At 47.0% G+C, this 13,199-nt stretch overlaps 1 protein-coding gene across 5 annotated transcripts in view; it reads left to right on the top strand.

Annotated features, from left to right (window-relative positions):
* The window catches only part of SPG11 (SPG11 vesicle trafficking associated, spatacsin), a 100,967-nt gene that overhangs the window by 86,981 nt on the left and 787 nt on the right, over nt 1–13,199 (top strand). For 4 of the 5 annotated variants that reach the window (NM_001411132.1, NM_025137.4, XM_047433144.1 and 1 more), the window contains 9 exons: nt 1,641–1,780; nt 2,937–3,135; nt 3,862–3,999; nt 6,024–6,157; nt 7,177–7,284; nt 9,090–9,258; nt 10,377–10,465; nt 10,673–10,828; nt 11,984–12,135. In NM_001411132.1, the coding sequence (NP_001398061.1) occupies nt 1,641–1,780; nt 2,937–3,135; nt 3,862–3,999; nt 6,024–6,157; nt 7,177–7,284; nt 9,090–9,258; nt 10,377–10,465; nt 10,673–10,828; nt 11,984–12,135 (1,285 nt within the window). The remainder of the gene's footprint in view (nt 1–1,640; nt 1,781–2,936; nt 3,136–3,861; nt 4,000–6,023; nt 6,158–7,176; nt 7,285–9,089; nt 9,259–10,376; nt 10,466–10,672; nt 10,829–11,983; nt 12,136–13,199) is intronic. The other variant, NM_001160227.2, reaches the window with a different exon arrangement.

Below are 13,199 nucleotides of genomic sequence, written 5' to 3'. Positions count from 1 at the left end.
ATAGATAGACCCCCTTCTTTCTCTTTTTTTTTTGAGACAGAGTCTCGCTCTGTCGCCCAGGCTGGAGTGCAGTGGCGCAATCTCCACTCACTGCAAGCTCCACCTCCCGGGTTCACGCCATTCTCCTGCCTCAGCCTCCCAAGTAGCTGGGACTACAGGCACCCGCCACCACGTCCAGCTAATTTTTTTGTAGTTTTAGTAGAGACGGGGTTTCACCGTGTTAGCCAGGATGGTCTCGATCTCCTGACCTTGTGATCCGCCCACCTCAGCCTCCCAAAGTGCTGGGGTTACAGGCATGAGCCACCACACCTGGCCTGACCCCCTTCTTTCTAATGGCTGCAGAGTATTCCACTGTACAGATGTACTAAGCTTGAATAATGCTTTATTGATATACATTTAAATTTTTCTGTTTTGTTTTTGCCATTACAAAGTGTGATATAAATATTCCTTACTTTTTTTTCCTAATAGAAACCCTTTATCAAATTAATATCTTCTCCTATTTTAAGCTAAGAGCTTTTTTTTTTTTTTTTTTTTTTTTTGAGATGGAGTTTCATTCTTGTTGCCCAGGCTGGAGTGCAATGGCACAATCTCGGCTCACCGCAACCTCCGCCTCCCGGGTTCAAGCAATTCTCCTGCCTCAGCCTCCTGAGTAGCTGGGATTACAGGCATGCGCCACCACACCCAGCTAACTTTAAATTTTTAGTAGAAACAGGGTTTCTCCATGTTGGTCAGGCTGGTCTCGAACTCCTGACCTCAAGTGATCCGCCCGCCTCAGCCTCCCAAAGTGCTGGGATTATAGGCGTGAGCCACCGCACCCGTCCAAGAGCTTCGTTTTAAAAAAAATCAGGAATAGATTTTAATTTTACTATAAATTAAAGCATATTTGCAGGTGGGTGCAGTGGCCCATGCCTGTAATCCCAGCACTTTTGGAAGTCGAGGCAAATGCATCAGTTGAGGCCAGGAGTTTGAGACCAGCCTGATCAACATGGCAAAACTTCATCTCAACTAAAAATGCAAAAATTAGCCAGGTGTGGTGGTGCACGCCTGTAATCCCAGCTACTCGAGAGGCTGAGGCACGAGAATCTATTGAGCCCTGGAGGCAGAGGTTGCAGTGAGCTGAGATCGCACCACTGCACTCCAGCCTGGGTGACAGAGCAAGACTCCATCTCAAAAAAAAAAAAAAAAAAAGTATGTTGGAGACCGACTGGGGGTGAGGGGCTGGCAGCAGGAGACAGATAACAGCTCCTCAGAATGCAGAGTGATGAAGGCTGGAACTAAGGCCACAACTGGAGAGATGTTATGGAGATAGTCAGCTATACTTGGTGACTTATTTGATACAGGAGGGAGGACATATAGAGAAGACTCTGGCAAGCATCTTTGGTGCTGATCTCTAGAGCACTCATTAGGTGGCCTTGATCTTTGTAGCATATGAGGTCTTTGAAGTATCCCAGGGTGGGATTTCCTGGAAGAGGGCAATGAAAGAAGTTGAGGTGGGGCCCTGTCAGCAGTGGTCCTATCCCCAGTCAGAGTAATGGGAGTGCAGTGCAGGGAGCTTCAAGCAGAGAGGTAGAGCCATAGAGAGCTAGGGAGAGGCCAGAACCTCCCAGCTTAGAGCCCCTCAGACTTGTATTTGCTTCCAGCTTCAAGTCTGGATAGTCAGAAGTTTGTGACAGTGCCCTCCAGTAATGAAGTGGTAACTAACCTGGAAGTGCTGACAAGCAAATGCCTCCATGGGAAGAACTACTGTCGACAGGTCCTCTGTCTGTATGATCTTGCCAAGGTATGTGCCAAGGGGTGGGGCTCCTCTTTCTGAGAGGGAGGGAAATGAGAAGTTTGAGGTTGATTTTGGACATTGCCAAGTCAGCCTTTTAGATGATAATCATGACCTGGGAGTAGAGCTCTTATCAGGATGTTGGCCCTCATAATTTTATCTTTGGGGAATGGTGGGGAGGACACCAGGCCAGGTGCCAGGGCGATCTGACTCCTGGCTGCAGCTCAGCAAACCAGAAAGCTAGGGCTGTGGGCCCCTGTTTCGTCATCTATAAATGATGATTTGACCATGAGGGTCTCTTCTAGACTTAATATCTTGGGTTTTGCATTATGATTGTGTGGAGCATTCCATATGGAATGTGATGACTATAAAGACAAGAGCCAGAGGAAGCAGAAATCGTCTGTACCTTTGCGCTGCTTGGGGGAGAAAAACAGTAGACTGGAAGTAGAAGAGCACAAGAGAAATAAAGCCAAACCCTAAAGCCCTCGTCTTGGAGAAGACTCAAAGACTTCTTTGGAAATTGAGGGTTTTGCTGCTGCTCTGGGAATAATAAAGGCTCTCGTATTTTAGTCGGTGTTCTTACATTTCATAATATTTTTAAAAATCAGGCTGGGCATGGTGGCTCATGCCTATAATCCCAGCAATTCGGGAGGCCGAGGCGGGTGGATTACTTGAGGGCAGGAGTTTGAGACCAGCCTGACCAACATGGAGAAACCCCATCTCTACCAAAAATACTAAAATTAGCTGGGTGTGGTGGCACATGCCTGTAACCCCAGCTGCTCGAGAGGCTGAGGCAGGAGAATTGCTTGAACCCAGTAGGCAGCGGTTGTGGTGAGCCAAGATTGTGCCATTGCACTTCAGCCTGGGCAACAAGAGTGAAACTCTGCCACCCCTCCCAACCCTGCCGCCAAAAAAATAAGTGTCCAACAAGAGAATAACCTGATGCTTTCTGAATACAAGCCTTTCTTTTACCTGGATTTGGCTTTGGTGAAATGATAGAAAGGGTTAGAAAACAGTACTTGCTTTTTCTAAGGTTCCTGCTGAGGGTGAGGAGTCTGTAAGCTCAGAATACAGTGGAGTCTGTCCACATCAGATTTCAGAAAGGGCTCTTTTGCTTTTTCCTGGCTTCTAAAAGTGGCCTTGACTGGCTTTGTCTTCCTCTCAGGAGTTGGGCTGTTCCTACACAGATGTTGCTGCTCAGGATGGTGAAGCCATGCTCCGGAAAATCTTGGCCTCTCAGCAGCCTGACCGATGCAAACGAGCCCAGGCCTTCATCAGCACACAGGGCCTTAAGCCAGATACTGTGGCTGAACTCGTGGCAGAAGAGGTGACACGGGAGCTGCTTACTTCATCACAGGGAACAGGTGCCCTACCCCCCGGGGATTCCCAACCTCTCTGACAGCATTCTCTAGTTCCCAGTGTTAAGGATTTGGATGTTGTGCTTATATACATCCTGTATGTGGTTCTCTCAAGTTTCTGGATTGCAGTAATGTATTTTGTTTAAATAAAACAAAATACATGCTTTATTTTTTACAAAATACATGTACAAAATACATGCTGTTGCTTTTTATTGTTTTATGATTACACTGGGAGTAGCTGTGGCTTTCTGAGCTAAAGAACTGTCCTGGCCGGGCGCGGTGGCTCACGCCTGTAATCCCAGCACTTTGGGAGGCCAAGGCTGGCAGATCACGAGGTCAGGAGATAGAGACCATCCTGGCTAACACAGTGAAACCCGCCTCTACTAAAAATACAAAAAAGTAGCCGGGCGTGTTGGCGGGCACCTGTAGTCCCAGCTACTCAGGAGGCTGAGGCAGGAGAATCGTTTGAACCTGGGAGGCTGAGGTTGCAGTGAGCCAAGATCACCCCACTGCACTCCAGCCTGGATGACAGAGCAAGACTCCATCTCAAAAAAAAAAAAAAAAAAAAAAAAGAACTCCTGTCCTATAAAATGACCAATAGGCCAAGGGTTTCAAGCTCAGCAAGCGGAGAGCTGCAGAGCTCCATAAGCATTACCTCCTGGTGCCTAAGCCTGGGCAGAGTGGGCCTCTCTTAGATAAAACCAGCACCTGTCTTCACACCTCTCTGTACAGGACATAAGCAGATGTTCAACCCAACAGAGGAAAGCCAGACATTTCTTCAGCTGACCACTCTGTGTCAAGACCGCACATTGGTAGGCATGAAGTTGTTGGATAAGATTTCCTCCGTTCCCCATGGGGAACTGTCTTGCAGTAAGTTATTGACCTTTTTCTTACATATTTTGGCCCTAAACAGGTCTCAAAAGGTCTCCCAGTCTCTCCAAAACTTGATTTGGGTCCCTGTTCCTGCTCTGGATGCCTAGCCCTCCAGCAGGAGTTATAAGTTCTTGGTAGAAAGCCTTAACTTCACTGAAGAAAATTTAGAAATTATGGATGAGTACCCCCAAATTTAAAATCATACAAAAAGGTAACCTTTACTCAACATACTTATTTCACTCTTATATTGCCCTGCAAAGAGAACGTTATTGTCCCCTAGAAGGGAGACAAACTTTACCTTAGGAAAGCTGATTACATCTGTTAAGTGGCAGAGCTGGTATTTGAACCCAGTCCATGGATTCAAAGCCTGTTTATTTTCCATAATGTCTAACTCATTATAGGCCTTCATTAGAATGTGTGATAAGTTCTCTTTTTTAAAAAATGACATTATACTCTGTATAGTTTATAATTTTTTTACTTTATGAATATGCTGTCATTAACATTTTTCATGGCATTGAATATTCTTCTATATAACTTCTAATGGTTACACAGATTTCTTATATATAATGAAAAACTGTATATTAGAATGGGGAACAGTGGCCCACGCCTGTAATCCCAATGCTTTTGAGAGGCCGAGGGCAGAGGATAATTAGAGACTAGGAGTCTGAGACCAATCTGGGCAACATAGTGAGACCCTGTCTCTAAAAATATTTTTAAAAACTTAGCGGGGCATGGTGGTGCACACCTGTAGTCCCAGCTACTTGAGAGGCTGAGGTGGGAGGATCCCTTGAGCCCAGGAGTTGGAGATTGCAATGAGCTGTGATTGCAACACTGAACTCTAGTCTGGGCAACAGAGTAAGATCCATCTCTAAAAGAAATTTAAGGCCAGGCGCAGTGGCTCAAGCCTGTAATCCCAGCACTTTGGGAGGCCGAGGCGGGTGGATCATGAGGTCAGGAGATCGAGATCATCCTGGCTAACACGGTGAAACCCCGTCTCTACTAAAAATACAAAAAATTAGCCGGGCATGGTTGCAGGTGCCTGTAGTCCCAGCTACTCGGGAGGCTGAAGCAGGAGAATGGCCTGAACCCGGGAGGTGGAGCTCGCAGTGAGTGGAGATGGCGCCGCTGCACTCCAGCCTGGGCAACAGAGCAAGCCTCCATCTCAAAAAAAAAAAAAAAAAAAGAAAAGAAATTTAAATAAAAATAGCCTTCTCTATCTCTTCTCGGTCCAGTTCAACAGTATTTACTGAGTGCCAACTTTGTGCCAGACACTATAAGCATCTAGGATATGGTGTATAAGCAATTCCTGGAGCTCAGACTAGGGTCTTAATACACAGTAAGAGCCAGAATGATGGGGTCAAGATAGAGTTCTGGACGAAATGTCCAAACGAAGGCCTGAAGGATTCATTGTCAGGGATGCTTAGGAGTCAGTAGGACTGGAGAGGGCCCTGCAGATGCAAAAGCCCAGAGGCTACAGCATGTTTTAAGGATGGAGAACCTTCTTCAGTCCTCACATTGCAGGTGTTTTTCCCAGTTTGCCTTTTCATTGTGCTTACAGTGATTGTAGTATTTTTAAATCTGTACATGTCAGACTTTCACTACTCTAGAAAGCCAGAACACCAAATGGCACTTGATTAGGCCCTGAGACCTTTTGCTGGGATACAAGCAGAGAATGCCCTTGGATTCATGTTGGCAGGAACTCCATCAGTTTGTCTGCAGAAAGTTTCTCCATGTTTAGAAGGCGAGGGTGCTGTGTTCTCATTTTGGGGGCCTTTTGGGGAAACAGTCACTACATGATTGTCTTTGAGGATTGTGCCATGACTGAGAGAATGATTTGGATGTCATCAAGGGGCTGTCTCAAAGCTACAGCTGCTAAGTTCAGGGACTTCGGAGGGCTGATGGGACGGCCCTCTCCAGACAGGCCCCTTCTCCACCAGGCCCTTTTTCCCTCCTGCCAGGCAGAGGTTGACAGTGGGCAGCCAGGGTTCATAATCTTATCTTACCAGTGCCCACCCTCCCAGCCACAGAGCTCCTGATCCTGGCCCATCATTGCTTCACCCTGACGTGCCACATGGAGGGCATCATCCGAGTCCTACAGGCCGCCCACATGCTCACAGATAACCACCTGGCCCCCAGTGAGGAGTATGGGCTGGTGGTAAGTAGCCCCCTCAACCCCAGTCTCCATCCTGTGGAAACCTTTGAGAGTAGTAGAAAGGGTGGGAGCCAGCCCAGAGCTGATGTAGTCGTAGGGGGTTCTGCCCATCTGGATACCACTACCTACTTGAGAGTTGGCTGGGCAGCCCAACCCTCTGCTCCAAGTTATCATTTCTGTCAGAATCAGAGGTTGCTCCAAAGGAGCGAAAGGGAGAAGATCCCTCCCAGGTTCCAGGGCCATCCCACCCCCTAGTCAGGGCAGTTAACTTTTCTAGATAGAGGGCTAAGACAGCTGCATTTTTCCCCAAAACAAGGTTTGGACCTTCCCCCCATCTCTGAATTGAAGTAAGTCGGCAACTCAGTTCCCATGTGCCTCCCTAAATTCTCTGGGCTTGAAACTGACCTGAGTGGCTGAGCAAGCTACTGGGCCACTGTCATGAGTAGTGGTGAAAAGAGGAAGAGTGCCTGCCCAGGAGAATGGCACTTTAGCACTTGAGAGTCACATTTAAGGACAGCAAAGCCGTTCATGGTGGCTCACGCCTGTAATCCCAGCACTTTGGGAGGCCGAGGCAGGCGGATTGCCTGAGGTCAGGAGTTGGAGACCACCCTGACTAACATGGTGAAACCCTGTCTCTACAAAAATTAGCCAGGCATGGTGGCACATGCCTATAATCCCAGCTACTTGGGAGGCTGAGGCAGGAGAATTGCTTGAACCCGGGAGGCGGAGGTTGCAGTGAGCCGAGGTCGTGCCACTACACTCCAGCCTGGGTGACAGAGCAAGACTCCATCTCAAAAAAAAAAAAAAAAGAACAGCCAGTGGTGGCCCAGTGACTGACATTTCTGAATCCTCCAGAGGCCCCCTGTTGGGTACATGGGAGGGAGCTAAGCATGGTAGCCTGGAAATTAGCCCTTCTCCTCCTGGAGCTTGGCATCTGAAAGCAACCACTGATGGTAGTTGTCTGGCTCAGAGAACTCCAGACTCCAGGTGATGCTGATGCGAGCTGTCCTCCCACTTCACAGGTACGGCTCCTCACTGGCATTGGAAGGTACAACGAGATGACATACATATTTGATTTGCTGCATAAAAAGCACTACTTTGAAGTGCTAATGAGGAAGAAGTTGGATCCGGTAGGTGCAAAGTAATGAGCTCCAGGATGGGGTGTACTGCTGATAATTCAGGAGCCTCAGCTTTTCTCAGGAATAATCTCAGTCAGGGTAGACTCTTGGGAAAATGGAGGGAAGGAATTAGGGACCTCCCCAAGACATACACTGTCACCAGTGGCTTCAGATTCTGGTTCAGATCAGTCCGTGAATATGCTGATGCCATATATTTTTTTTTTCTTTTTCTTTTTTTTTTTTTTGAGACGGAGTTTCGCTCGTTTCTCAGGCTGGAGTGCAAATGGCGTGATCTCGGCGCAACATCCGCCCCCCAGGTTCAAGTGATTCTCCTGTCTCAGCCTCCCAAGTAGCTGGGATTACAGGCATGCACCACCACGCCCGGCTAATTTTTGTTTTTAGTAGAGATGGGGTTTATCCATGTTGGTCAGGCTAGTCTTGAACTCCCGACCTCAGGTGATCCACCCATCTCAGCCTCCCAAAATGCTGGGATTACAGGCATGAGCCACCGTGCCCAGCCGATGCTAAATACTGAAGAAAATAAGTTTGTCCTCCTCCACCTCAGCCTCTGTCTCCTGCCTCTACTGTCTTAAATGCCTTCTCTGGCAGGGGCAAAAACCCTGAGCCAGGCTGAAAGTGGATTGTCTAGCTCTGAGGTTGTTTGAGGGCTTTTAGAGTGGAGAGTTTTCAGGAGACTGTGAAAAATTGTGCTGCTAAGAGCCAGGTTGGGAATCAAACACAAAAGTTTAGACCAAAAAGCTGTGGAGCCATTTATGATGATGAACAGGAAGGCGGCTTGGAAGCAAAGGCCTGACTTGTTTAAGTCTTGGGCTCTGCAAGCCCGTGTGTCCTCAGTGTCCTCTGTGACACCGAGCATACTCCTCACAGTACCTGTTTCCAGAACATTTGGATGATTCATTGCTTCTGCTCATTTCACCTTTGGCTTCTGGGAACATGGGCCCAGCCAGGCAGGATTAAGAGAGAAAGCAGAAAAAAATCTCTCTTTAATATTGGGCCAATTTCAGGACAGACCAATCTAGTCATCAAGTGAGGAGCAAGTCCTGGACATAGGTGCATCTTCAAGATCCCCCAAGGGTTTTTAAAACTGTTTTTGAGGCAGTTTTCCTTCTGCATTTAAATATTTTAATAACTTTTTCCTGATTACAAAAGTAATGCATATTCCAGGTAAGACACTTGGAAAACAGAACAACACAGAAAAAGCCCTCAGTGTCTATCCATCTGGAGACAGTCACTAACAATTTGGTATAGGCCTTCTTTGCACATGTACCTGAAAACATCTATATATAATTATTTTAATAAAACTTATACAGTGAAGAGATGAAATATCCTGCTTTTCTCACTTAACAAAGTATATCATGACTATTTCCCAAATCAACAAATCATCCTCCTACATAAGTTTTAATGGCTACATGGTATTCTCTTCCCCTTATTTTGGACATCTGGATTGTTTCTCATTGTTTGCTATTAAATATCCCTGTTACATTCATCTTAGCACTTTTCTCTGCTTATCTCTTTAGGGACAGATTCCTAGAAATGGAATTGTTAGATCAGCTTATGCGGGTGTATTTTTAAGGTTTCTCCCTTTAGAAAAAGTTTTGCCTTTCACACTTCCAACAGGAAAGCACACATGCCTGTTTCCTCATACTTGGGACAGCATAAAACTTGTATTTATTCTCATTTTTGCTCCTCTTCTTCTTGGGAGTTTTTAAGGAATGCAGAACAAGGTGACTCAGCTAGTCCTGTCTGCCTTGCAGTCCCTGACTGACACCTTGCTTTTTCCCTTTTATTCTGGGCAGAGTGGTACCCTGAAAACAGCCCTGCTGGACTACATCAAACGCTGCCGTCCTGGAGACAGTGAAAAGCACAATATGATTGCCCTGTGCTTCAGCATGTGCCGGGAGATTGGCGAGAACCACGAGGCAGCTGCCCGCATCCAACTGAAATTGATTGAGTCTCAGCCCTGGGGTGAGTGAGGTCACAGCCACACTACCAGAACAGTGCTGCTAGCTAGGTAAAATTCCTTTTTTTTTTTTTTTTTTGAGACAGAGTCTCGCTCTGTCCCCAGGCTGGAGTGCAGTGGCACGATCTCAGCTCCCTGCAACCTCCGCCTCCCAGGTTCAAGTGATTCTCCCGCCTCAGCCTCCCAAGTAGCTGGGATTACAAGCACCTGCCACCACACCCGGCTAATTTTTTGTATTTTTAATAGAGATGGGGTTTGACTATGTTGGCCAGGCTGGTCTTGAACTCCTGACCTGGTGAACTGCCCACGTTGGCCTCCCAAAGTGCTGGGATTACAGGTGTGAGCCACCATGCCCGGCCCTCGATAAAATTCTTACAGCAAAGGACAAGAGCCCATGAGATGGGCTATTAGAATCTTGAGGTAGGTGGCCCGGCACAGTGGCTCATGCCTGTAATCCTAGCACTTTGGGAGGCCAAGGTAGGTGGATTGCCTGAGCTCAGGAGTTCAACACCAGCCTGGGCAACATGGTGCAATCCTGTCTCTACTAAAATACAAAAAAAAAATAGCCAGGTGTGGCGGCATGCACCTGTAATCCCAACTACTTGGGAGGCTGAAGCAGGTGGATCACTTGAACCCGGGAGGCGGAGGTTGCAGTGAGCCAAGATCGCGCCCATTGCACTCCAGCGTAGGTGACAGAGTGTGACTCCATCTCAAAAAAAGAATGTTGAGGTGGGTATGTCGCTCAGCAGGACCCCCACTTGGGCAGACAGATGGAATGGAGACTTTGAAGGCATGTGCAATTTAGGATTGTACTCTTGGATCTATAGCCTATATATCCAGGGTATCATCCACCAGGAACCAACATGCACGTTGATACCATGTAAGCCTTCCTTGATGTTTTGGAGAAATGAGGCATTAGAAGGGGCACTGAATCCTACTGCGGAGTGAAGTTACAATAAGCGTATGCATTTCTGGCCCAATAACCTTTATCTGAGTGAGGTGTTCCTGCCTGCCTGTGAACATGGCTGGGATGTTTCTATTCTAGCCACGATCACAATGAGTGGGATGAGAACAGTGAGCTTTGGGAGTCAGACTCGGCAAATCTTCTTTATTTCCCCTACAGAGGACAGCCTCAAGGATGGGCACCAGCTGAAACAACTGCTGCTGAAGGCCCTGACTCTGATGTTGGATGCAGCAGAGAGTTATGCCAAGGTAACCCAAAGGCTTTTTTCAGACTGGCCTTGGGACTTGCTGTCTGCAGTAAAATTATTTTCTTTTGTCCTTGGGCTCTTTCCAGGTGAAGCGGGAGGGCATCATAGGCCAACCAGGAACAGAAGGGGTGAATACCGTTGTGAGGGTTCACACAGGAGGTGACAACTAGGTCTTTCTCTACTGTGCCTCTCCACCCTTGTTCCTCAGGACTCCTGTGTGCGACAGGCCCAGCACTGTCAGCGGCTCACCAAGTTGATAACTCTGCAGATTCACTTTCTGAACACTGGCCAGAACACAATGCTCATCAACTTGGGCCGCCACAAGCTGATGGACTGTATTCTGGCCCTACCTCGGTTCTACCAGGTGAGCAAGAAAGCAAACTGTAGCCAGCACTGCTAGCATCCTCTCTCCTTCTGTCCCACTCATGGAACCCAGAGGTAAGGTCTCAGGGCTAGTGACAGAACCAGGACAGTACAGTTCTGATTTAACTCTCTGATACCAACATAGAACGGCAATTTGATGTATTTCTCTCTAGTATATTGTTGGGCAGAGGTTAGAGAATGGTAAGACAGTGCTGTCTCCCTTTCCTGTGCTGTTAGGCCAGCAGAGAGGCAGACACCTTTGGCCCTTTAACCCCAGGCTGCAGACTGGTACTGGCCCATGGCCTGCTAGGAACCAGGCCGCACAGCAAGTGAGCACTGGGCAAGCAAGCATTACTGCCTGCACACCATCTCCTGTCAGATCAGTGACAGGACTATATTTTTATAGGAGCATGAACCCTGTTGTGAACTGCACATGCAAGGGCTTCTTATGAAAATCTAATGCCTGATGATCTGAGGTGGAACATTTTCATCCCGAAACCATCCCCTCCCAGTCTGTGGAAAAATTGTCCTCCAGGGAACCTGTCACTGATGCCAAAAAGGTTGGGGACCACTGCCTTAAGACAGTTGAGGTTCAGAGTAATACTCTTGCTGGTGGTCCTGCAAGAACCTCCTAGCCCCAGCAGTTACAGAATGGCACACTCAGGTTAGTACAGCAAGTCAGGGAGATTGGTTCTAGCCCTTTAAAGAAGTGGATTATCAGGGAATCAGCCCTTTCACTGTTCCTCATACTGCTAATGGGAATAATATATTCTTAGCAGTTTCAATTCATTGTGAGGAAGATTAAAAACACTGAAAGAAGCTAGGCATGGTGGCATATACCTGTAGTCCCAGATATGCAGGAGGCTGAGGCGGGAGGATCTTGAGCCCAGGAATTTCTGGTCCAGCCTGGGCAACATAGTGAGACCCTGTCTTTTTTAAAAAAGGGTTTAAGATAATTTGGGGATTTATGAGAGGGAAAATGCCAAACACACACCTGACTTTTCACCACCTCTGATACATAGAGCCTTTTAACATAATTGGTAATGATCATATTCACTACATGAGTGAGTATACAGTATTGTTTTCTACAACAGTTTGTTTTTGATTTTACATCAGATGGGCTCTGATGGTGTCCTTCTTCACCTCTCCTTTTAAGGCTTCTATTGTGGCTGAGGCCTACGATTTTGTTCCAGATTGGGCTGAAATTTTATACCAGCAAGTGATTCTTAAAGGAGACTTTAATTACTTGGAAGAATTTAAGCAGCAAAGGTTATTAAAGTCCAGTATATTTGAAGAGATTTCCAAAAAGTAAGTATTAAAAGTTGACTGTAAACATTGCTCCTTGCCTCTGCTTTGAGGTGAGACAAGTGTAAGAATTTTATGGCTAAGTACACCATGCCTTTAGATTACCTCTACTTAAAATGGCAAAGCAGTATCAAGAATCCTTAGAAGGAAGTCTTTTAACAGATTTATGCAAAGAGATCAACAAGAACAGTTTGCTCATAGTGCTTTGTACTTTAAAATGGGAGGATAGCTACTCAGTGCCAAAAACCTAAAACACTGGCCAGGCCCAGTGGCTCATGCCTGTAATCCCAGCACTATGGGAGGCCGAGGCGGGAGGATCACTTGAGGTCAGGAGTTTGAGACCAGCCTTGCCAACATGGTGAAACCCTGTCTCTACTAAAAATACAAAAATTAGCTGGGTGTGGTAGCTGGCACCTGTAGTCCCAGCTACTCGGGAGGCTGAGGCAGGAGAATCACTTGAACCTGGGGACAGAGGCTGCAGTAAGCTGAGATCGTGCCACTATACTCCAGCCTGGCAACAGAGTGTGACTCTTGTCTCAAAAAAAGAAACGAAAAACACTAAAACATCAGAGGTGCCTTTTGGAGTACTAAACTTACTCTATAAGGTAAGCATTAACATACTCATTTTTAAAGAAATATTTTATCAAGCACCCCTAATACTAGTCTGAGATAACCCAGACTCCAGCACCCTCTCCTCTATAGGTAATAGTAAGTGGTACTTCAGAGCTGACAGCCCTCACTCAAAATACAGTATCCTAAGGTGGGCACAGTGGTGCACACTTGTAGTCCTAGTTACTCGGGAGGCTGCAAGAGAAGCAGCTGAGCCCAGGAGTTCACACTCTGAAAAACCACTGTACTCCAGCCTGGGCAACACAGTGAGACCTCCATCTTTTATTTAAGAGAGAAAAAAAAGGGCAGCCACAGTGACTCACGCCTGTAATCCCAGCACTTTGGGAGGCCAAGGCAGGCAGGTAACTTGAGGCCCGGAGTTCAACACCAGCCTAGCCAACATAGCAGAACGCTGTCTCTACTAAAATTAGAAAAATTAGCCAGGGTGGTGACACACT

Source organism: Homo sapiens, chromosome 15 (assembly GCF_000001405.40).
Source record: "Homo sapiens chromosome 15, GRCh38.p14 Primary Assembly".
Classification (NCBI taxonomy): domain Eukaryota; kingdom Metazoa; phylum Chordata; class Mammalia; order Primates; family Hominidae; genus Homo; species Homo sapiens.
Note: the sequence above shows the minus strand (reverse complement) of the source record. Positions and strands in the feature narration are given on the sequence as shown.